Source organism: Homo sapiens, chromosome 18, assembly GCF_000001405.40.
Source record: "Homo sapiens chromosome 18, GRCh38.p14 Primary Assembly".
Lineage (NCBI taxonomy): Eukaryota > Metazoa > Chordata > Mammalia > Primates > Hominidae > Homo > Homo sapiens.
In genome coordinates, this window is record NC_000018.10 from 46,318,699 (window position 1) to 46,342,015 (window position 23,317).

The window sequence follows — 23,317 nt, forward strand, 5'->3', positions numbered from 1 at the left end:
GTAAAAGGGGATATAAAAGTGGAATCCACAGTGAGGATGGGGTCCTTTCCTGGAACCAGAATGACACTGCATCCCAGCAGCACCCTCTGTGGAATGAGGGTAGACTCGGGGGTTCCCATCCCTTGTCTTCATGGCCCTTGTTACAACCCTGGGCCTTGTCTTCTCTTTCTCCAGTAAAGGCCATTTCTTACTACTTAATGTGGGATGCTGTGAAATTCTCCTTGAATCCTGGTGCATGCAAGAGATGAAGACCCAGAAGAACTCATTTTCACAACAGTTCTGTAACTCATATTCTTCCAGATCGGGAAATATTCTGGAAGTATTTTGAGAAGGATTTCATCATCTCTGTTTTGTGTGTTCTCTCGCTCTCTCCTGTTTCTCCTGCTAGAGCTCCTCTTGGGCTTTCCATGTCTTTGACTCTTTGTTCTACTTTCTGGGAGATTTCCCCAAGTTAATCTTCCACCTCTTCTATTGAATTTCATGTGCCTGCTCTCATGTTTTTGATTTCCAAGAACTCTTTTTTTTTTGTTCTCTCAATGTTCTTTTTAAAATAACATTCTGTTCTTCGTATGTGACATCTTCTCTTATTTCTCTAGAGATATTAATGATCTTTAAGCACTTTTTTCTTCTTCTTCTTCCTGCATCATCTCTGCTGCTTCCAGGTTGTGTGGTCTCTGTCTTCCTTATTAGAGGCTTTTCTAGGAAGTCCGATAACCCTTGGTCATCTCCTTGTAATTAAATGTAGTGGTGGATGGGAAGGAAACAAAATACTAATTGGAAACTCTGAGTAGGTAAGTGAGGCACGTCAACTTTGAGTTTCAGTGTAAGGTGATCCTGATGGGCCCTTTGTTGGGAAACTCCTGGGTCTGTGTCTTCAGGTTTTTCCTTTTGGGTGGTGAAATGCCTGGGGAGTTATCTTCTGATGTCCTGTCTGAAGGAGAAAAGTCTGGTGCCAGTGTTTTGAAGGCTGAGTTATGGAGACCTTGGTGGGGGTCAGGGCACTGATTCATTCTTTGCCAAGGACTCCTGGCTTTATCTTCTGCAGAGACTAGACCTCCAGACCCCCACTGGTATGAGTATGTCACCCAGGTCTGGCAAATGGGATATGCCTATAGGCTAGGGAATGGTGTGGTGTGTGGTGCAATTTCTAGGGAAAATTTTCCTTTCTGATAAAAAAGAGAGACACAGAGAAGCCTTTCCTCTCTTTCTTTCCCTCTTGTTTGGATGCTATGATGTGAGGGTATGATTCATGAGCTGGGCAGTCATCTTGCAACCATGAGGCAATAAACTAGAAAATTGAAGCCCATATACTGTGGTTAAAGGAGTGAAAAGATGAAAAGAGCATGGAGCCTTGATTACATTGTTGAGCCTCTGAACTCATCTAATATCATACTTACTCCCACTGCAGGACGTGCCAAGTCAATAATAAATGAACTAGTGGTTTAAGCCTCCATTAATAATATTTTCTCTTCATTACAGGTGAAAACAGCCTGACTAATAACACTCCCAGACCATGTTACTGGTCTCAAATTGTTCTGGCCTCCGGAAAGAAAGCTATGGCTCACTGGAGTTGAAGATAAACTAGCAATTTATTCATTCAATATTTATTGAGTCCCTACTGTGTGCCAGGTACTGACTTAGGTTCTGGATTTGAAATCCAAAACCAAACTTGGAAGATGTGGGAGGCATCAACAAGAAAGAGATGAAGCAGGGTCCTCCTGATGCTCTGACTGCTAGTGAACACATGCGGAGCGCTGCCGTGGCCAAGCACTGTGATAAGCACATATCACTTCACGTGCACACCAGCCTCCTGTGGTAGGTAATGGTATTAACCCCACTGTGCAGATGAAGACACTAAGGCTCTGAGAGCTTAGAAAACTTTCTCATGGCAACTTGGCTAGTGAGCATCAAATCCTTTACCCTACACTTAAGCACTTCACAGGTAGACAGGTCATGAGCACCCCTTTTGCAGCCAAGAAGAAAAGGGTGTAATTTGGCAGAGAACAGGGAGAAGTGCTGTGTTGGTCAATCAGACAGCTAAGGAGTGAGTGAGTGAGCAACAGATCACCCATTCAAACTAATGTGGGTTCATGTCATCATTTATGGGGCCTACCATGAGCAACCACTGCACTAGGCTCCGGGATGTGAGACCAGACAAGACGCTGTCCCTGCCTCCAGGGCCCTTGTAGCATGGACACCAGTAAGCAGATGACCAGAGGCCAAGTGATAGGAGCTGCATTCATCATGTGCACAGGTGGCCTTGGAGCACAAAGGAGGGCTAGGTGGATTTTGACTTAGGAGAAGGGGAGAGAGCTGGGGACTGAACGCTGCACAATGGGGGTGATATTTTACCAGGATTTAAGAGCAAGGCTCAGGAAAACTGTTTGGAGGTTTCTCAAAAAGTTAAACATAGAATTCCCATATGACTCAGCAATTCCTCTTCTAGACATATAGCCAAAAGCACAGGATACTGGGACTTAAACAGGTATTTGTACCTCAGTTATTATGTAGTACTATTCACAATAGCGAAAGGTAGAAACATCCTGAGTGTTTATCAGTGGATGAACAAACCAAGTGGGTATATACACACAATGGGATGATATTCAGCCATTAAAAAGGAATGAAATTCTGACACATGCTATGACGTGGATGAACTTTGAAGATATAATGCCAAGAAATCAGCCAGACATAAAACCACAAATATTTTATGAGTCCACTTACAGGAAGTACCTAGAACAGGCACATTGATAGAAAGTAGATTAGAGGTTACCTGGGACTGGGGAAGTGGAGAATGGGGTGCTTCATGGATTGGGGGTTTCTGTTTGGAATGATGAAAGTTCTGGAAATTGTGGTGGTGGTTATGCAACATTGCTAATGTACTTAATGTGAATGTCCTTGATGTGACTGTACACTTAAAATGGTTAAAATGATACATTTTATGTTATGTGTGTTTTGCCATTACCAATAAAACAAAATGAAACAGTCAGGCTCAAATTTCACCCTTCTGGTTTTGAAAGTCCCTGATCCAAGGCCCCCCATGAAGCCACTGTCAGCTCATTTCCCTCTTCATTAAATTCATTCCTCATCTGGCTTTGCTTTGGAGAGGTTATTATTGGTAATCAACCATCAATTCATCTCTAATGATGCAGCCTGAACACATTGTTGGCTGAAGCCTGGACCACATCTGCCTTGCAGGGTGACATTCCCAGGAGGTCTGGATGACCTCTGACCTCTTCCCACCCCTCTTTGGACCCATAGAGGCCCTGCTTCTGCCCTTGGCCTCTCTCCTTCAAGTCCCCAGGACCAGTCTTATAAATCAGCAGTTGTCTTTCCTGGGACTCTGAAGGCCTCTCAAATCTACCCCTTCTGCCTGACCCAAACCTGAAACTCTATCTTTAGAGTCTGAGGTGTTTGACTCAAGGCACTGTGACTACCCAGAGAGGCACGCTCTCAGATTTCACTGGAGGGCAGGGGACCCAGGAAGGGAGAGAGGGACGGACAAAAGAGAGGGAAATTCAGCAGCCTCAGTAACTATGCTAAGGAGGGCTGTGCCTGTGTTTCCTGAGCTGTGAGAAGACTCAGCTTCCAGAAGGCTGACAGATCAGACGGGTGCTTCTGCGTAAATTTACATGAAAACTTATTGCTTTTCCGAAGGGCACATTTTAAACAATACCTTAACCCAAAGGATGGAGATGGTGGCATTTTAAGGCACTGTGCCTGATTTGAGGAGACTGCTGAGGGCATCCGTTGGAATCCCGAGCCACTCAAATTCCACTGGAAGGTGAGGCCAGTTCCTCTAGCTAGGTGTGGCCAGCCTCACTTCTGGGGGTTGGGACAAAAAGTAACACTATGCAAACAATGTGCATCACGTCTCTCCTGATGGAGCGACCAGGGCTGGGAGGCACACCCGGGTGTGTGCCCGAATGCCAATTTTGCAGCCTCAACTTGGATAAAGTATCCCAACCTCTCAGTTTCCTCACCAGTGAGAGGAGGACAAGCTGAGCCGCAGGGAGGGATGGTAAGCAGCAGGTGAGAAGGCACGAGGACACGGGACAGAGCAGTGCTGGTGTGGAGCTCTGCAAGCGCCCTCCCCCAAGGTCTCAGACCCACATCTCAGGACCTGTCTCCAAAAGAACGAGTCACCTAATACTAAGCACAGAGTTCACCGCGGGAGTCAGACACCAGCTGCAAAGTCAGAAAGGAGGCTAAGCCACAACACTATCAAAATGCTGGCCTGAGAACCTGATTTTTTTTTTTAAAAAAGAAAATCCTCAGTTCTCGTAGGATTAGACATTTCTTTTGTTCTCCCTCAGCAGGCTCCAGGGCAGCAGAGCTGGGAGAAGTGGAAGTGTTCTTTAGGTCACGCTTTTGCTCAAGAATGCACAGTGGCTCCTCGGTGCTAATAGAGGGACAGTGAGCAGCCTCTGGTCAGCAGCGCGCAGGGTGCTGGGTGTTCAGTGGAGAGCAAAGCAGACACAGGGCCACCCAGCCTCAGGGACTGACTGGCTAGATCTCAGAGCCATGTTTTTCAAAGAGGGGCCTCCGACCATCTGCATGAGATTCACCTGCCAAGAGGTCGTCCTTGCTAAAATGCATGTTCCTCAGCCATGCCCTTAGCCTCCCTGGGTCAGAATCTCAGGGAATGGGACCTGGGGGATCTACCATTTATTTATTTTTATTTTTTATTTTTGAGACAGGGTCTCGCTCTGTCACTCTGCCCAGGCTGAAGTGCAGTGGTGCAATCATGGCTTATTGCAGCCTCAAACTCCTGGGCTCAGGCGATCCTCCCGCCTTAGCCTCCCGAGTAGCTGAGACTACAGGCATGCATCACTACACCTGGCTAATTTTTTATTTTTGTAGAGATGGGGTCTTGCTATGTTGCTCAGGCTGGTCTTGAATTCCTGGTCTCAAGCCATCCTCAAGCCTGGGCCTCTGAAAGTTCTGGGATTACAGGCACCAGCCACTGCACACAGTCAGGATCTATCTTTTAAACAAGTTCTCCACAGGATTCTTATGCACACTGAAGTGTGAGAACCAGCCCCATAAGGACATGCATCCAGGGACTGCCCTGCACTGTTGGTGGATTTCTTTTTTTTTTTCTTTTTTGAGATGGAGTTTTGCTCCTGTTGCCCAGGCTGGAGTGCAATGGCACGATCTCGGCTCACCGCAACCTCCACCTCCCAGGTTCAAGCAATTCTCCTGCCTCAGCCTCCCGAGTAGCTGGGATTACAGGCATGCGCCATCATGCCCGGCTAATTTTGTATTTTTAGTAGAGATGGGGTTTCTCCATGTTGGTCAGGCTGGTCTCAAACTCCCGACCTCAGGTGATCCTCCTGCCTTGGCCTCCCAAAGTGCTGGGATTATGGGCGTGAGCCACTGTGCCCGGCCCTCTCTGTGGATTTCTACCAGTCACCTGCTTCCCCGACCAAGGAGGGAGTTACTGAGGGAAAATGAAGAAGTAAGGAATGAAATAAGGTCATGATGTCTCCCTTGCCTGCAGGGAAAGCCTAAATCATCACACCTGTCACATCTCGCTTGTTCAGTCTGCTCTTAGCATTCATTGAACACACTGGGGCCACTTCCCCATGTTTCCCCATCCTGCTTGCCTCTCCTTGTGCATTAAAGCAGTGCTTCTTCTTATGCACACAACTTACCCAGTTCCATAAACCTGAACAAAATCTTGTATCACAACCAAAACATGTCATCTCTGTCTTGGCCCACCTGGGGAGGAATCAGTGGTCATGTGATGATTTTACGCCTGACTGCAAGTAGGAGAGAGTGAGAGAGAGTTGCAAAATAACAACAGCTTCAGTGAGACTGCAATCTAATTATTTCCCATTTCAAAGAAGTCATAGGAGGCTGTCTGGGGTTGGTAGAGTAGCTTTATGAAATCATCCAGTATCCAGCCTCTTTCAAACATGCTTCCTCACTGTCTTTAGGGTGTACTTTCCTCCAGTCCTACATGGCTGTTCCAGTCCAGCCCTGCAATCCATCTTCCAGTTAGTGCAAATGATAAAGAGGTGGAGAAAGGCACAGCTCTTTGCCTTAAAGAACACTTCCTGGGAGTCACACATGAACTTCTGCTTACATCCCATTGCTCAGAATTAATCATGCCTGACTGCAAAGGAATCTGGGAAATGTAGTCTTTAATCCAGGTGGCCATATGCTGAACTAAAAGTCAGAGACTCTATTATCCAGAAAGAAGTGAGGAATAGATAACAGGGCCTGCTAGCATTCCCTGCGACACCTTGGCAGCCTACCCCAGTTGCAGGTTTGCCTTGGTAAGCCCAATATTTGAGCTGATTTATGAATATATGAAACTGTCTCATGTCCAATAAGAGCAAAATCAGACAGCATGTGGAAAAGTCAGTAGAAGTTAGAATCAGATAACTACAAAAGGATTAAGAGGAAAGTTTAGCTTTTCAGAGATGAGTACATGTGATTCATTTGAATGGTGTCGTTTGGATTTAAGAATGACTGGATTAGAGACCACCACTGAAATCTTAACGTCATCATAAGGAAAAGAGTGCCTGCAGAACATTCTTTTCCCTGGTTAAAAAGGTCAGGTGTTGGTCGAGTGTGGTGGTTCATGTCTGTAATCTCAGTACTTTGGGAGGCTGAGGTGGGAGGATTACTTGAGGCCAGGAGTTGGAGAACAGCCTAGGCAACATAGTGAGACCCTGTCTCTACAAAACAAAAGAATTTTGTTTTTTTTTTTAAATTAGCTGGGCGCTGTGGTGCACCTCTGTAGTTCCAACTACGTAGGAAGCTGAAGTGGGAGGATCACTTGAGCCTGGAAGATCGAGGCTGCAGTGAACCATGATCAAGCCACTGCAGTCCAGCCTGGGTGACAGAGTGAGACTCTGTCTCAAAAACAAAGCAGCAGAACAAAAACAAAAAACAGATCAGGCATGTCATTGGTTCCTCCTTGGCCCTGCATTCAGGATCAATGTGCCATTCCTAAGCCTGACTTTCAATCCCACCTGATTTCCCAGCCCCTAGAATCTACCCCCACCTTTGTTCATGTTGTGCCTAGATGGTAGATTACTTTTCCTGACACTTCACTCTGATGCTCAGAATCCCCCGGTGCTCCCCACTGCGTACCAGAGAAACTTCTGGTTTCTTCACCAGGTGTGCCCACACACACTCTTTGTTCCCATCACATTAATTCATGTTTCCTTAACTCACCCTGGATCTCCGTGTGAGCTGTCACTTTGGGCATGTCCTAAGAGGCTTTGCAGGTGTCCACTTGCCACGCAGGAAAAGGACATGTCCTGGCCAGCGGAAAAAGGATGAAAGATGTGGGTCAGAACCACCCAGCAATGCACAGACGCCATGAGAAACAACAGCCGCAGCCGCCTTGGAGCTGGCCAGCCTGCAGCTCAGGGAGAATACATGCTTACTGTTGTGTGCCACTGCCGGTTTGATAATTATTAATGATGTAATAGGTTGGTAGCAATCGCTAACGCATCCACCTGACTAGACATGCTCTTCCCTTGTCTAATCCCCTCTGCAGTATTTTCTTTTCTTCTTTTTTTGAGATGGAGTCTTGCCCTTGCCCTGTCGCTCAGGCTGGAGTGCAGTGGCGCAATCTCGGCTCACTGCAAGCTCCGCCTCCCGGGTTCACGCCATTCTCCTTCCTCAGCCTCCCGAGTAGCTGGCACTACAGGCCCCCGCTACCACGCCCGGCTAATTTTTTGTATTTTTAGTAGAGACGGGGTTTCACCGTGTTAGCCAAGATGGTCTCCATCTCCTGACCTCGTGATCCGCCAGCCTCGGCCTCCTAAAGTGCTGGGATTACAGGCGTGAGCCACCGCGCCAGGCCTGCAGTATTTTTAATGACTCGTTTTAGGGTACGAATCACTTCTACCTTCAGTTAGGATTAGATCTGGCCATGAACACAGAGACCCGAGTCTCAGTAGTTTAAAAAAGACAGGAGTTTATTTTTCTTGCACCGAGGTTGTGAAGGGGACACACTGTCCACCGCAGCCATGTGTGGTGAGTGGGAGCCGTCTGTGTTCTTGAGGGCTTCAGCGGCAGAGGGGAGACCGTCCAAGGAGGGCTTCAGCGGCAGAGGGGAGACCGTCCAAGGAGGGCTTCAGCGGCAGAGGGGAGACCGTCCAAGGAGGGCTTCAGCGGCAGAGGGGAGACCGTCCAAGGAGGGCTTCAGCGGCAGAGGGGAGACCATCCAAGGGAGTGAGTGGGGACTAAAATTCAGCCTGAAGTTCTGGCCTACGTCTGTGTCAAAGGTGAGAAAGAGCGCTGCTTCCTAACTTATCCACCCAGAGATAACATCTTTTTGTGTGCCTGCAGAACGCAAGGATATGTGCTAGCTTTTTTACCTTTTCCTTTTTTTTTTTTTTTTTTTTTTGAGATGAAGTCTCACTCTGTCGCCCAGGCTGGAGTGCAGTGGCACAATCTCGGCTCACTGCAGCCTCCGCCTCCCGGGTTCAAACAATTCCCGTGCCTCAGCCTCTCAAGTAGCTGGGATTACAGTCACGTGCCACCACACCTGGCTAATTTTTGTAGTTTTAGTAGAGATGGGATTTCACCAATTTGGCCAGGCTGGTCTTGAACTCCTGCCCTCAAGTGATCTGCCCACTTTGGCGTCCCGAAATGCTGGGATTACAGGCGCAAGTCACCGTGCCTGGCCTTTTTCACTTTTATTTTTGAAAAAAATTGTAAATATAATCAAAAGTAGAGAGAATAATGCAATGAACCCTCTTAGGTATTCTTCATCCAGTTTCCGCAATTATCAACACAATGCCAATCTAGTTTCATCGCTATGGCTTCTCACTGACCCCTCCCCTTTTTCAAAGAGGGAGAACCTTCCAGACGTCATTTAATATAATCTGTAAAGCATCTGTAAATACAGTCATCTCTCAGTATCTGTGGAGGAATTGGTTCCAGGACCCCTGCAGGTACCAGAATCCAAGGATGTTCAAGTCCCTTACATAAAATCACGTATCTGTATATGACCTACACACACCTTCCTGTATACTTTATAAGTCCTCTCTAGAGTCCTTATAAGATGTAATGCAATGCAAACGCTATGAAAATAGTTGTGATACTGTATTTTAAAATTTGTATTAATTTTATTGTTGTATTGTTATTTGTATTTTTTTTTCAAGTATTTTCAACTGGAAGTTGGTTGAATCTTCAGATGTGGAACCTGCAGGTACATAGAACTGACTGTGTAAGGGTTTTCTGTGTGAACATCACCATAATATCATTATTCCACCTAAAAATACCCCAATAATTCCTTAATATCATTAATATCCAGTCAGTGTGCATTTCCCCAATTACTATTTATTTATTTGGAGTGTAGTGAAACGAGCATGGCTCACTACAGCCTCGGGCTCCTGGGCTCAGGTGCCTCAGCCTCCAGGGTAGCTGGCCACATTCAGCAAGTTTTTTTTTAGAGACGGGGTTCCACCATGTTGCCCAATCTGGCCTCGAACTCCTAGGCTCAAGTGATCCTCCTGCCTTGGCCTCCCAAAGTGCTGTGATTACAGGCTCGAACCACCATGCCTGGCCCCCAATTACTTTTATAGTTTACTTGTTCTAATTCCATCTCATGAAAATCTAAACACTGCATTTGGTTGATAGATCCCTTATGTCTCTATAGGCTCCCCCTCCATCTCCTTTTAGCACCTGTTAATTTGGTTTTTGAAGAAAATGGTTGGTTTATCCTATAGAGTTTCCCTAATCTGAATTTTGCAGATTGCATCCCAATGTTATCTTTTACTACGTTTCTTTGTTTCCTGTGCTTCCTAACAATTGGAAATTAGATCTGGAGCTTTCATCAGGCTCAGGTTTCATTTTCTGGAAAGACCACCTCATGGATGGTGGTGTGTTCTATCAGAAACGCATCATGGCCCATTGTCTCTCTTTTGCTGATATTAGCAGCCATTAACGGTCATTGCCTAGAACTTTTATTTCATCAAGATGACATGCTCATGATATCATTTCTTATTTGTTTGCCAATATTTCTATAAAAAGAAATTTCTCTCATTAAATATTTCATTATCTTAAAATAATAGAGTTTGTATGGGAAAGCCAGGACACATACTTGATTCTTTCTCTTTATTTACCAATTTCTAGCATCCTCCAAGCGAGCTTTATCTTCTACGAAAGATATCCCACAACATTCCTATCTTCATCCCTGTCCGCAGGACTTAATCATACAGCCTTCCCTCACTGCCAGGGGGTCTGGGATCTTCAGCTGGGATTTAACCTGGGCAGCCAGGTGCTCAGGTAATTTCCCAATTACATTGGAGAAGGGGATTGTGAACCCTGGTAACTGCTTCATTTCCTGTTGGCCCATACCTGTTTGAGGGCTGAAGTGGCTTCATTCATCTTATCTTGTATCCCTTGCACTTTCTGATGCAAAAGGCTCTACTCAGTGACTGTGCAGTGAACATATGAATAAATGGTGCAGTCCTCACTGTTCCCATGCTTTCCATGACCCAGGTTCCCAGTTCGGCCAAGAACATTGAGCTCCTTCCTATATAGCACATTTGTTCCAAGCTGCTGCTTCTCTTCTCTCTCTTTCTCCTATTCTTCTCTGACCTTCTCACTCCTCTTCCTCTTCCTCTTTCTCCTCCTTCTCCTCTTCCCCTTCCCCTCCACTTCCACCTTTTCCAGTTCCTTTTCCTTCTTTTTTTTTTTTTTTTGAGATGGAGTCTTGCTCTGTTGCCCAGACTGGAGTGCAGTGGCAACATCTTGGCTCACTGCAACCTCCGCCTCCCAGGTTCAGGGAATTCTTCTGCCTCAGCCTACCTACTAGCTGGGATTACAGGCATGTGCCACCATGCCTGGCTAATTTTTGTATTTTTAGTAGAGACGAGGTTTCACCATGTTGGCCATGCTGGTCTCGAACTCCTGACCTCAGGTGATCTGCCCGCCTCAGCCTCCCAAAGTGTTGGGATTACAGGCCTGAGCCACCACGCCTGGCTCCAGTTCCTTCTCTTTCTTCTGCTTTTAATTCTGGGCTTTTGTTCATATTTTGCTTCCTTGACTCAATGCCACTCCCATTTTCTCAGCCTGTTCAAAATAGACCCACACTTTAGGGTCCTCATCTCCCCTGATCCATCCAGAGGATTTCCTGAGTATTCAGGCCTACCGTGACTTCTGTCTGACTCACCATCATCCTTCGTTATGGGCAGCCTGTCCTGATTACTCTTTACTTTCTTGTGTTTATGCCCTGGCTCCCCAGCGGCCATCAGTGCCTGGGGCCACGGCTCTTTCTGCAGCAGACCGCATCTAGAATCCCCTGCCACGTTCAGCACAGGGCTGTCGTGACACCAGTCCCAGTAGGTTCACTGATTGACGCATAGCTGTTTTGCACAGCTTTTGCAAGTTGTCAACTTGATGTCAACACAACATGGAGAAGAGCAGGAATGCTGTCATCATTCTTGAACATTTTTGTTATCTACATGACTGATGTGGTGGGTTTGTTTTCATTTGTTGACTAAAGGACAATGTGGTCATAACCTAGATGTAAGGTTGGGCTCCAAAAGAGCTGTTCTTAAAACAGATACTTCTGGGCTCCAGAAACATGATGATCTGTAGAAATCTTTTTGCAGGTGGTCATAGTGGAGCCAAAAGAGAGTGGGGATTCAAAGTGTGGGTCAGAGACCAAAGTGACAGCGCTTTCTCCATCCTCTAAGGCCATGTTTTTCCATTTTGGATTAGGAATTATAGATCAACCTTCACTTTTCATTTTTTTATACTTCTTGAGCCTTACATGCTATGCCACAAACATGCACTAGGCATTGATTTTGGCAGGGATTGAGGGGGTGCAGAACATACAAAGAAAAAACCCTGAAGAATGGAATATTTCTACAAATCTTTCTACTCCAGAAATCTTCTTATTGTACTTCTATGGACTTTAGCTAATGGGAGGGAGAGTGGAAAACAGTCATCCCAGCCTGACGGAAACAGATAGAAAGTAGAAGCAAGACTAGGCTATGTGCTAGGAAATATGGATTCTAGTTCTAGCTCAGCCATGAATGGCTGTGACCTTGTTTACAACCTTCTGAGCTTTAGCTTCCTCACCTGAAAAACAAGAGACGGGCAAGACAATAATCGACTTTCATTCTGGAGACATCAATGAATTTATGCTTCTAGAATTTTGTTTTCTTTTCTTTTTTTTTTTTTTTCAGATTCTTTATCACTTTCTCACTGAATCCTCACAATAAACCTATAAGGTAGGTCTGGCAGGGGTTGTGCTAATCCCCATTATACAGATGGGTGTGTTGGGGCTGAGAAATGTTAGGTAGTTAACAAGGTTTCATTAAAAATGAAACTCCTCCTCCTAATCCACAAAAATTCCTTCTTAGCAGGAGGCTCATGCCTGTGTTTATATGTTGGTGTACTGAAAATGCAGGCATCTGTCTGTCAGGTTTCTCTGATGTGCAAATACGAAGGATGCAATTATTAGGTGGACTCATAGATTTCCCTTGGTTTGCATTGCTGGTCTGTTCTTTGATGATTGCCTTTCTCTGAGGGATGTTCCATGCTATAGCATAATTTACACTAACTGCATTAACTAGGCAATCATAAATAGCAAGTGGAGGGCAAGAGGTGGTGAGCAAGGAGAGATGGACAAGTGAAGGGAAAGAACTAAGAGCCTAATAGCCAGGCCCGATTCTGTGTACTCTACAAGTATTAACTCATCTGGTTCTCAAAAGAACCCCACCAAGAAGGTTGCTATCATCAAGCCCATTTTACAGATGTTGAAACCAAGGCCTAGAGGAGTTAAATAACTTGCCTGAGCTACTATGTGTCAGAGGCAGAATGTGAAGCCAGGCAATTTGATTACAGAGTTTGAACCCTGACCTCCTTCCTGTCAAGGTCAGATTGGGTAATCATAAGCTTTTGCAAGCTGTTCTGGTACAAAGTAAGATTTTTAAAAAAGAATGCCCATCCAAAACTAGCAAGGTTGCACAGAGAAACTGGCATACCATATACATACTGCTGATAGTACTGACAATGAGTTTTATCTTTTTATAAAGCAATTTGTGGCAAGAGCCATAGTTTTCCGTATTTGTCAATCCATGAATGTCAATCCTAGAAGTTTATTCTACGTTTATAGTTCGACCAAAATGAGATGCCATATGCATGAAGTTTATTGTATGATCTGTAATAATGGAACACTGGGAGCAAATTAAATGCCCTAGAATAAGGTATGATTAAGTAGTATCATGATACGTTCACTAGTTGGAATATATAAAAGCATTTGAAATGATAATTACAATGGCTACGTAAAAGGACAGGAAAATGTTTCTGATAAAATGTTAAGTTTAAAAAGCAGGATGAAAAATATGTAGATTATGATGACAATTCTGATATATATGCATACTGTCCAAGCCTGAAATAGAACAGGAAAAACTTCTAGTAGTTAGGTGTTTGTTAAAATCCTTTCATTTTTTTCAGATTTCAATTAGTAGTGGCATTGTGTTTATTTATCAGATAATGAAAAAAGGAAAGAGCTGGTGGTAGAAGTGGGTTGAAAAAAATTGCCTAGGGTGAGACTTGGACTGCTATTGGGAGACTTGCCTCTGGCCGTCTTCATCCCTGAGTTCTCTGGGGGCAGCCAGAGTTTAGGGTGGGAAAGAGAGCTCAGGCCTGAGAGATCCACGGGCTTATGGGAGAGAGAATGGTGAACCCTGGGTTCTGCCCTTGCCACTGGGAATATGGTAGCTGTCTGGGTAAAGCCAGGCTGTGGTTTTCCCTTTGCTGTCTTGTCCATTGTCTTACCTCACTTCTCCCATTCTTTATTCTTCAAGTCTCAAAAGCCTTAGAAGTCACTTTCCCGGAGTCAGCCTCAACTCCTCCCCTTGCCACCCACTGGGCTGGGTGCCCCTCCAAGGCTCCCCGTTTGCCCAGCTTCCCGTGCTGCCCATTTCTGCATGGAACAAGCTCTATGGTGATTGCCCGTTGGCATCTCTGAGGCCCTCTCTGGCCTCCAAGAATTGGGATCTTGGGCAGATCGGGATCACCTCCCTATGCCCTTGCTCAACACAGCATGGATTAAATGAATGACCCTCCTTTTCCAAGGTGAGGGCAGGTTGGGGTTGGATTAGATTCTTTCCAGCTCCACATACTGTGATTTTTACCATCTCCTATTTATCAGACTCATTAAAGAAAGAAACCACTGGGCTTTGAAGACAAGTCCCAATGTAGGGAATGTCCTCTGTCTTTCTGCCCGTGGGTGGGCCCCTGAAGCATTCTCTGGCCTTAGTGTGTGAACTGTGAGCCTGATTGTAGGCGTAGGGTTGCCTTGGGAGTTTTCACAGAAGGTCAGCTGAGCATGCAAGAACACCGCCTCAGTCGTCCTCCTGGCAACAAAGCTTGCGGTGAAGGCTCTTTGATTGGGTCTTGCTTGTCCCCAGCTGGACTGTCACAGGGCACATGTGACACGGTGGCTGCGCCTCCACGTGTGAATTTGCAGGAGCCTCAGAGCCTGATGTTACATATCCGCCTGCTGGCTGTGGAAGTGGGCGTGTCTGTGCACATGGCTGGGTGTACCTGTCTCAGATCAGGGCAAAAGGTAGATGAGTGGCCCTGGGTTTTCTGGGCAGTGTGTCTCTGTGTAGACTGTTGGCAAAGACCTCAGTGAATGAGTGAATTTCAATTCAGCAAATAATTATTGTGAGCTTTGTGCTCTCCAAGAGCAACGACGCGGTGCGCCAGGCAGAGAGCCTGGGGAGTGTGCGTGTCTTACCTGTGTCTGCATCGTGTGTTCCCTCTGTGTGTCTCTGAGAATGCGTTCTTGGCACGCGTCCTGCGTTAACAAGGCGTTTGGTGTGTGCATGTCTGTGTGACAGTGCCTGGGTCCTGTTTGCGGCTGCTTGTTCGCATTCCAGCTTCCCTTGTGCCCGCAGTCAGGCTCTACACGTGCGCCAGCCTCCGAGCGCACGTCCCCGAGTGACCCGTGCGCGGTGTGCAGGGACCTCAGGGTCGTGTGCACTAAGGGCGCTCGTGCCCGTCTCTCTGCACTAAGGAACGCACCTCCACATGTCTGAGTGCACGTCCCTCTCCATGTGTGCACGTTCCGTGTTCACGCCGCCCATGTCTGTGCAGGGGCGCTTCACGCGCGCCCTCTCCGGCCCGCGGGCGGCCAGGGACCCGCGCTGGGCTCCACGCTTCCCGTGGGGCTGACCCCTCCCTCGCGCCCCGCAGCGGGCCGCAGCGATTGGCCGCCGGCCCCCTTCCAGCCGTCACCCCTCCCTCCCTCCGCCACCCGCGCGCCCGCGGTCCCCGCTGTCCCCCGCGGTTCCGGCGAGGCCGCGCCGCGCTGCGCTCCGCTCCCATTGGCTGCGCGCGCCTTTGTGTGGCGGCAGCTGCGGCCCCAGCGCCTTTGAATGTCGAGAGGGGCCGGGAAGGGAGCCTTTCCATGGGCCATCTGTCTCCCCGCCAGCCGCCGCCCCACCGCCGCCCGCGCCCCGCGCTCCGCCTCCCGCCCCGGCGGCTCCCGCAGCCCCGCCGCCGCCCGCGCCCGCGCCCCGGAGCCGCGCCACAAAGGGCCCGCGCGCAGCCGCCGCCGCCGCCGCCGCGCGAGGAGCCAGGATGGTCCTGGTCCACGTCGGCTATCTCGTGCTTCCAGTGTTTGGCTCTGTGCGAAACAGAGGTATCGCTTTTTCCTTTCGGGGTCTGCTTCGGAGCGTGGATCGCCGCAGGCACCGGGGCGGGGGCGGGCGCCGCGGGCGGCCGGGGGCTCAGGGCACACCCGCGAGGACGCAGGGCGAGCGGTGGCTTCCCCCCACCCCATTTTAGGGGGACCCCCGAGGGTGGGGGCGGCCGCCCTCGTGGGAGCTTTTGTAGTGAAGTTAGGGTTTGGCGAATTTGGGTCCCTTCCTCCCCAGCCCCATTTTTTATTTTTTGCGGCGGACGTGGTTCCCCCAAATCACAGCCCCTTCCCCTAATACCTAGCCCTGTATGATCGAAAGGAGAAAGATACATGACCGTGTGTGTGTGTGTGTGTGTGTGTGTGTGTGTGTGTGTGTGTGTGAGAGAGAGAGAGAGCGCGCGCGCGAGAGCATGCTTGGTTTTCTGTGGTTTGCTTTTTTTGAGGTATATGTGTGTTTTGTGTTATGTGTGTTTTGTATTCATTTTTTGTTCATTAGTACCGATGGCTGGCTAGCTGGGACCTGGGTCTCTGCCCTATCCCATGCCCCAGCCCCCACCCTCTCGTGGGCACTTGCACGATTTTCCATCCCATCCTTTTTTCGTCTTTAACCCTTTTTGTGCATCGCCCTTGTGCTATTGCCCTGCTCACCCCGCCCCCCGCAACTGTCTTTGTATGACAGTTGCATACACGGGTTCAAGATGCTTGGGCGCGTGTGTGTGTGTGTGTGTGTGTCTGTATGTGTGTGTGCATGTGTGCGAGTGTGCGCGCGCGCCTCGGAGAGTCAGACCTGCGCTGCTGTGCCCTCCTTGGGTCCGGCTGGAGCGGGGCGTCCGGCCCTTGGGTGTTGTGCTGTGTGTGAGGATGAGGTGGGAAGCTGCCCCCACGCCAGGCCTTTGCCCCGGGCAGCGGTTGACAAAGCAGCGGGCCGGCGCGGGCTTTGTTTTTAACTGTGATAAATGGGGTGTGTTTGCACGGTCCCCTTTCCCCACATCCCCTCTCCCTCACATTCTGCTACAACAATAGCTTGATTTTCCCCTCTTCTCCCCACCTCCACTCCACATTTCTTTCATTTTCTTTTAATAAAAAATTCCCACCTCCCAAGCAAATCCGAGATGCATTTAGATTCATTTTTTTTCTTTTTTGTATTCTGCCTCTGGACTCACATTTCTCGTCTTGGAAATGTTTCTTCTATCCTCTCCCACTCCACGTCTGCTTAAATCCCTGCTGGCTCAGGCCCTCCTCCCCCTCTCCCCACTCCCTCATACACAGAATGATGTCTTCCCTTGGCCGACCAGGGCTCCTCTACCAAGTCGGGGTGGGGGGTGGGGTCGCAGGGCCAGCGCTTTAGTGCGCCCCAGGGGCCCGATTGGGCAAGAAAAGGAAAGCCCAGCCCTATTTTATCCAGCCCAGCTGTCCCCAGCCCCGCGCCTCTCCCCAGAACCTAAAAGGCAAGCTTGGCCCCCTTAGGCCTGTTTGAACCGCAGTTTTTTGTGTGATGATAGAATGATGACATTCTGCATTTATCAAATCTTTTTTTTTCTTCATTGTGTAGCTCAGTGAATGGTCAACTCGCTGCTGTGTGCGCTGTGACCCTTCTGCCTCCGCATTTAGCTGTATTGTGACACCCTCTTAACCATTTCCTGTCTCCATCTGAGGAAGGCATTGCTATTTAAGCGGCAGTATCCCCTATCTCAGGCCAGCCTAGCCATGGGGGTGAGGGGGAGTGGGTGTGTGAGGAAGAAAGAGGGGGGCTGGATGCGATCTCCTTGAAATGCCACCCCCTCTCTCAATACACAATTATCTCTTATTACTTGGCATTTCCTCTTAAAACGGGTGTGGAACATTACACTAGGCAGAAATTCAAAAATGATTAAGAAGGATGTTGAGCCTGAAAGTATAATTATCCTGATTAAATCATTACCATCCTCATTAATACCACCAATCTCTAAATACCATTGCAGGATGCTGATTCCATGTTTTGAAATTCAAATTGCTCAGCTGCCTTTAAATTTTATTTTTAATACTACCTTCTCCCTCACCCCCCCCAACAAAAAAAAATCCAACAACACAAATTCTGCCCATCAGTTAAAGTTTACTTTCACGGCAAACATGCCCACAGGAAATTCAAGGGCTGAGGGGTGAGTTGGTCTGTGGGTAAAATTTCGCAGAATGTGATAAGAGTTCATGACCTTCCGATAGAGGATACTAATGCTTAACTCAACAAGGTCCTAAACCACAATCTTCTTGTAAAACTATTAGAGAGTTTGCCAGCTTAAATCTGTTCTTTTTAGTTTCCATTGTAGTAGTGTAGGATGTAGGCCATTTCAGAATAGATGTAGAGAAATAACCATTTTTGTATCTTCATCTTGTTTAGCCGAGTACATTGCACTGTAAATCCCTGTTAAGTGGATTCCTTTTGCCTTGGCTTAGAGGCTGCAGCACTTCATTTTTCAGTTATCTGGGTGACTATCAGTTAGCTTCTTGGCAGCACCCAGGCATAACTGAAGATTGCACTTAGTTGGAGGCAAAAAATGTTAAACATATGTATTAAAAAAATCTTTGATGAAATGACAGTTGCTGCTATCCCATAGCCTCTGAAAACTTGGTGCACCAAGGTCCCTGGCTTAAGTGGGAGCCATGGCCATAGCGTCTTAATTGTTTAATTGTACAATGTCAAGAGCATCTTTGGACATCCGCCCTGGCCCTCAGAGCTGCCCCTTTAACAGCCGGCTCCCTTCTGCTGCTCGCCAGCCAGACCTGCTTGAAAACTGAAACAAAACAGCAGCAATAATAAAAGAATAAGGCCCCTACTTTGAGGGCCCTTCCAAAATAAAGTCCCAAATAGCCTCCCCAGACTGCCATTTGGCAATCTGAAAAGAAAGAGAAAAAAGAAAAGAAAAGAAAAAAGAATCCCAGCAAAATGGTTTTCCATTAAACAGGGGTAGCGTGTTCTGCTGTGCTGAATTACTTCCTGTTCTTATTTTGTGGGTAATTTTTTCTGTATCAAATATCCTTTTGGTTGTGTATCTTTTTCACCTTTTCTTGTACTAAAACTAAAGCATGATCTGTATTTTTTTACATCCCCCAGTTGACAATGTACAGCGCTCGGTTAGAGATGTTACCCTGCTGAAACGTACTGTGGTCGTGTAGCCCGGGCCATCTGCTCATTGTACGCTGCTTTTGTTCTGTTGCCCTTCCGAAGCATGGTGGGCCCAGCCTTTTTTTTTGTATCGTGTGCATGACGACATTGTTACACACAGAATCCACTAATACTAATATACAATCTCTCAATAAAGAACTAGTTTTCCTATATTAACCTAGTGTGCTTTTTCTCTTGCTGTTTTCCCATTTATTGTCGTATCCTGCTGTTTAGATTTTCCCCCCTTGCTTTTCTATCCCCACCCTCACCCACCCACCACTCCCACCTCCCATTGTAAGATTTGAGTGAATGCCTTTTCTTTTTACTTTACTTTTTTTTTTTTGTGGTACAGATATGGTGACTTTAATCTCATTTAGTCCATATCTTTTCACAATAGATGTCTGGAGCGATAGGAGGGGCCAGTTGTCCTGTTACACTGAAACAGTTCACCTGCCTAGAGAGAACCCCTACCTTTGGCCGCCTGTGTACTCAGTAGCTTCCACATTTCATCTTAGTTTTCAAGATACATGGGCACTGGGTTTATGATGCTGGTGAAGAGAAGGGGATATAACACTTAGGTTGAGAAAAGGGATACTGTTCTTAACTAGCAATCTTGTAGCATTTCAGACTCGCCTAAAAACCCATTTTGAGTTGTGTTTTAACTTTTCTGTTTGCTGTCTCATTGATTTACTGTCCTTATAAATCATGCTGGGGGTGACATGTTACATGTAGCTGAAGCCATGATCTGGAATTTTAAAGTACCCTCTTCTATGTGCATATTTAAATTTTTAGGACTTGCAATATAAGTTTTGCATTGAGATCCTGGATAAGGAAGATGTTTGAAACAGAAGCTGACTCAGGCCACTCCCACCCCTATCCAGGGCCAGCAGCGGACCTGTTACTGTAGGAATAAGAGGGTCTGTGCCCTCTGCAGGCTGTGAGCCAGTTAAAGCTGATTATAGCCTAGTTTCCTGACAGCTGCTTCATCTACGGCCCTAGGGCCTCTCTTAAGAGAAAGACAGCTAAGATCTCAGCCATTGTCTAAGTGTGTGTGTTGAGGTGGGGAAGGGGGAAGGGGAAATCAGGAGTAAAGTCAGGACCTAACCCCAAATTGAGTTGAAAAAAGAACCCTTAAAATATCTTTTTTTTTTCCATAATTACACTGGAGAAGCCAGTGGAGAGGTATTTTTTTTCCCAGAGTGGAACCCAAATTCAGCCATTTGTCAATTACACCTATTCAATTTCAGCCCAGAACAAGCCTTGCTAAATGAGGCATTTTAGACACTGAGGAAATGAGTTGATTAAAGAAATTCCTGGTTCTTTCAAAGGGTCATCATTTTGGAGCTGCTCCTCTTTTGGCCGATGTGCCTTGTCCTTGCTCCCCTGGGCTGACTGACTCCCCGGCTCACCCTGCTCCTCGCTGGCGGGTGCACCCCTGCCTGACCACAGCGCTTCCTTGCCTTCTTTGTGGCTTCATGCAACTCTCCTCTCCCCCCATGGCTGCCCTCTCTGCTCTGGCCCTCTTTGTTCTCGTGCTCTTCCCAGCCTGGATGGGAAAGCTGAGCTGATTTACTGTGACACATGGACACACATGGATGTTCCCAGTGGAGGCTCTGCTGTAGTTTGTGCAAGAGGAGAGATACAGGTTTACAAGGCTAGTCCTCTGAAGATTTTGTTTGTTTCGTTTTCTTCTTTTTAAATTTTCATTTACAGGAGACTTAGAAAGCCTCCAATCCAACCTCAACAATAATAAAACTACCCTGAATTGAGTGATCACTCTCATATTTGCCCTAGAGAACAGTGGCTCATTAGATCAATCTTAACCAATTCCAGGATTTCATTTTTCTAAATTTTTGTTAAGTATGTCAGAATTGTTTGAGAATACATTTTGAGGATGATTAGTAACCTAGTAATAATATAGCAAGCTGTGGGTTAATGGGAAATCATGTTTTAGCAATGTATGCAGTGTATTTAATGTTTGACCCAGATTGTCTGAACTAAACACTTACATATTAAGGAGACTTTCCCTGTGACTGGACGATTCAGGAACTACAAGGCCATTGTTCTTTATATTTATTCTCTCAACCACCTGACACATGTCTGTTTTAGCACCTTGACTTCAGGATTTTGGAAACCCCATCAGTTCAGTGAATCCTATGTCATAGGCTTTGTAATAAGATGGAACACAGTTCTTCTTTCTGAACAAGAGAACTTCTCTCTTGAAACTAGCATCAGAAAGACCCACTAAGTTAATGAGTTTTCTTTAATAATAATTTTCCGCAAACCAGCAAATACTATTAGTTACTCAAATTTAGGGAAAAGACCACCAAAAGTGTTGAGGCCCTAATGTGCAAATGTCAGGGCCTGGGCCACTCATCTTCCTTTTGCAGTTTTCTCACCTCCTGCCCCACCCTGTCCTTCCCATCTTTAAATAAGTATCCTGCAGTAGCACATTAGATGATTTAATGGTTTTTAGGCTACGGAAGCAACAGTTCTGTGCTGGATCCAAGGGCAGCAGGGACCCCTTTTCTGAAGCAAAGGGCAGGAGACGACAGGTCCTTGACCCTGATTCAGGGTGTGACTTTGGTTCCCTCAATCCTACTCCACAACTGTCACACAAATCTGCAAGACACTTGTGCCTTAGTTTCTCTATGGATCTAAACAGCTTTGTAAAAATTCCCGGCTTAACATTGTATGAATGTGAATTAGTATTTATTAGTTTCTGGTATGGTTTAGCTACAGATAAACCAATATATTTCCAAGAGAATTGGGGGAAAGGGGAGGGCTTATCTTGGAACGACTCAGATTTTCAGGATGATTTAAGAACCAAAAGCAAACCCTTATAACCCCATAGCCAAACCTCATGCAATGCCTGTACTTCATGTGTTTAGTTGTTCATTCATTCACTCACTCACTTGTTTGTTCATTTAGTTAATGAGTGTTCATTGAATACTTACTTGGGGCCAAACACTGCGCTAAGGGGGATACAGAAGAAATGGAGACCTGAGTGCCTCCCTCCTGGGGCTTATGCTGAGGTTGAGGGAAGAATGCTTAGGAAACCAGATACTGTCTAAGATGTTCTGGGCCAAAATGTCCACACGAATGGCAGAACGTCCTGACTGCTGAGATAAAAGAGCTTGGAGCAGTCCAGGGTTTGAGTCCTAGCCCAGTCTTGACCTGGAAGGGTGATCTTAGGCCACTGCTTTGAGCATCCTCTGAACAATGACTGATGACTGCCATGAAACCTACCTGATAGGCTATGTCTAAGCTGTTACAAGATACCTGGCACGCGGCAGGTGCCTAGGATGTGCTAGACAGTTGCCCCTTCCCTTCACAACTGTAGGTGTTTGCTAGCCAGAGGATCAAATAAGGTCAGAGGTGAGCTTGCTGCAGAGGCGGGTTTGCAATGTGCCTCAAAGGGTAGTGTGTATACAGGAGGGAGGAGGAGGAAGAGGAGAGAGCACCCCAGGTGGAGGGAATGAGTGATTTTGGCCAAGGCCAGTGGCTCTGCTGATTTGGCAAGAACAGAAAGTACGTAGCAGGAGGGAAGAGTGTGTGTTGATGGCGGGGCGGAGGCACATGTGCAGGCCTACAGGGAGCACCGGGATCATTGTCCTGTCTTTGAATGGCTCTCCTCAGAGCACAACTCTAGGAGTTAAGCAGCACGAGGTCTGGAGAATGTGGGAGAAAAGGCTTGAAGAGGTTTTGAAGCCAGTTTCTGAAGGCCTCTGGAGAGTTTGGACTGGCTTCTTTGGCCTTTGGGAGCTCTGAGGGGAGAGGGCTGTTTAAACAGTTTATTCTGCAGCTGATGACAGAGGGATGGGGCTAAGGGCTGAGGTCAGGGAGGGGGGTGGGACAGGCGTGGGGGGTAGGGAGGAGAAGATGGCTCACATCAGGGAGTTTACTGTAAGGTGGAGTAAGCAGGATTGAGTCTATGTGGAAGGGGCTGAGGGGCAGGAGGTCTTTGGGGTGCTTTGGAGAGTAGAAGACCATGAAGACAAACGGGGAACATGGGAGGAACAGTCCATTTTGGTGAGAATTGAGTTTAGTGTACAGATAAGCACATAGAACTTCAGACGCCAGAATGGCAGATGGAAGGGGATTGTGGCAACGTCTGGGAGTTGAGACTTCTAGTCCTTTACATACAGATTCCTGGTTGGGGTAGGAAATGAACTTCAACAATAAAAATTCCTCATACTCACATGACTTGTCCCCCCCAGACTCTCTGTTGATGCCTGAAACCCTTGTGATGTTATTCACATGTGTCTTTACTGGCTTAGGTCACCCCTTGAGCAAGCTTTCTTACAATATGAACTCCTCCCGGAGTTGTACCAATCAGTATCCCGAAATCTGAGTTGGAACAAGTTTTATCAAACTTTGTCTTTCTTGAAAAGACAGACCCCAAAGTGGGCAAGTACCAGGAGCTTTGCCTCCACTACTTTGCAAAAGGCCATCCCTACACATGGGAGCAGGGGGAACGGGAGGGAGCCCGACCCAGTAGCGTATTGGGAGAGGAGAGGGCAGGGAGTAGGGACTGAGGA

At 47.0% G+C, this 23,317-nt stretch overlaps 1 protein-coding gene across 5 annotated transcripts in view, besides 2 other annotated features; it reads left to right on the top strand.

Annotated features, from left to right (window-relative positions):
- Positions 14,151-14,762: an enhancer, noted in NCBI's record as "H3K4me1 hESC enhancer chr18:43912812-43913423 (GRCh37/hg19 assembly coordinates)". NCBI's record gives its function as "activates a minimal SCP1, AML or CMV promoter by ChIP-STARR-seq in naive H9 embryonic stem cells {active_cell/tissue: H9 hESC(naive)}" and the evidence as "EXISTENCE:reporter gene assay evidence [ECO:0000049][PMID:30033119]".
- Positions 14,763-15,373: an enhancer, noted in NCBI's record as "H3K4me1 hESC enhancer chr18:43913424-43914034 (GRCh37/hg19 assembly coordinates)". NCBI's record gives its function as "activates a minimal SCP1, AML or CMV promoter by ChIP-STARR-seq in naive H9 embryonic stem cells {active_cell/tissue: H9 hESC(naive)}" and the evidence as "EXISTENCE:reporter gene assay evidence [ECO:0000049][PMID:30033119]".
- The window catches only part of ARK2C (arkadia (RNF111) C-terminal like ring finger ubiquitin ligase 2C), a 129,123-nt gene continuing 121,125 nt past the window's right edge, over positions 15,320-23,317 (top strand). For 3 of the 5 annotated variants that reach the window (NM_152470.3, XM_011526016.4, XM_017025788.3), the window contains exon 1: positions 15,320-15,637. In NM_152470.3, the coding sequence (NP_689683.2) occupies positions 15,577-15,637 (61 nt within the window). In that variant the 5' untranslated portion in view covers positions 15,320-15,576. Of the gene's footprint in view, positions 15,638-17,189; positions 18,954-23,317 lie in introns of those variants that run through there. The other 2 variants (NR_046357.2, NM_001256758.1) reach the window with 2 other exon arrangements.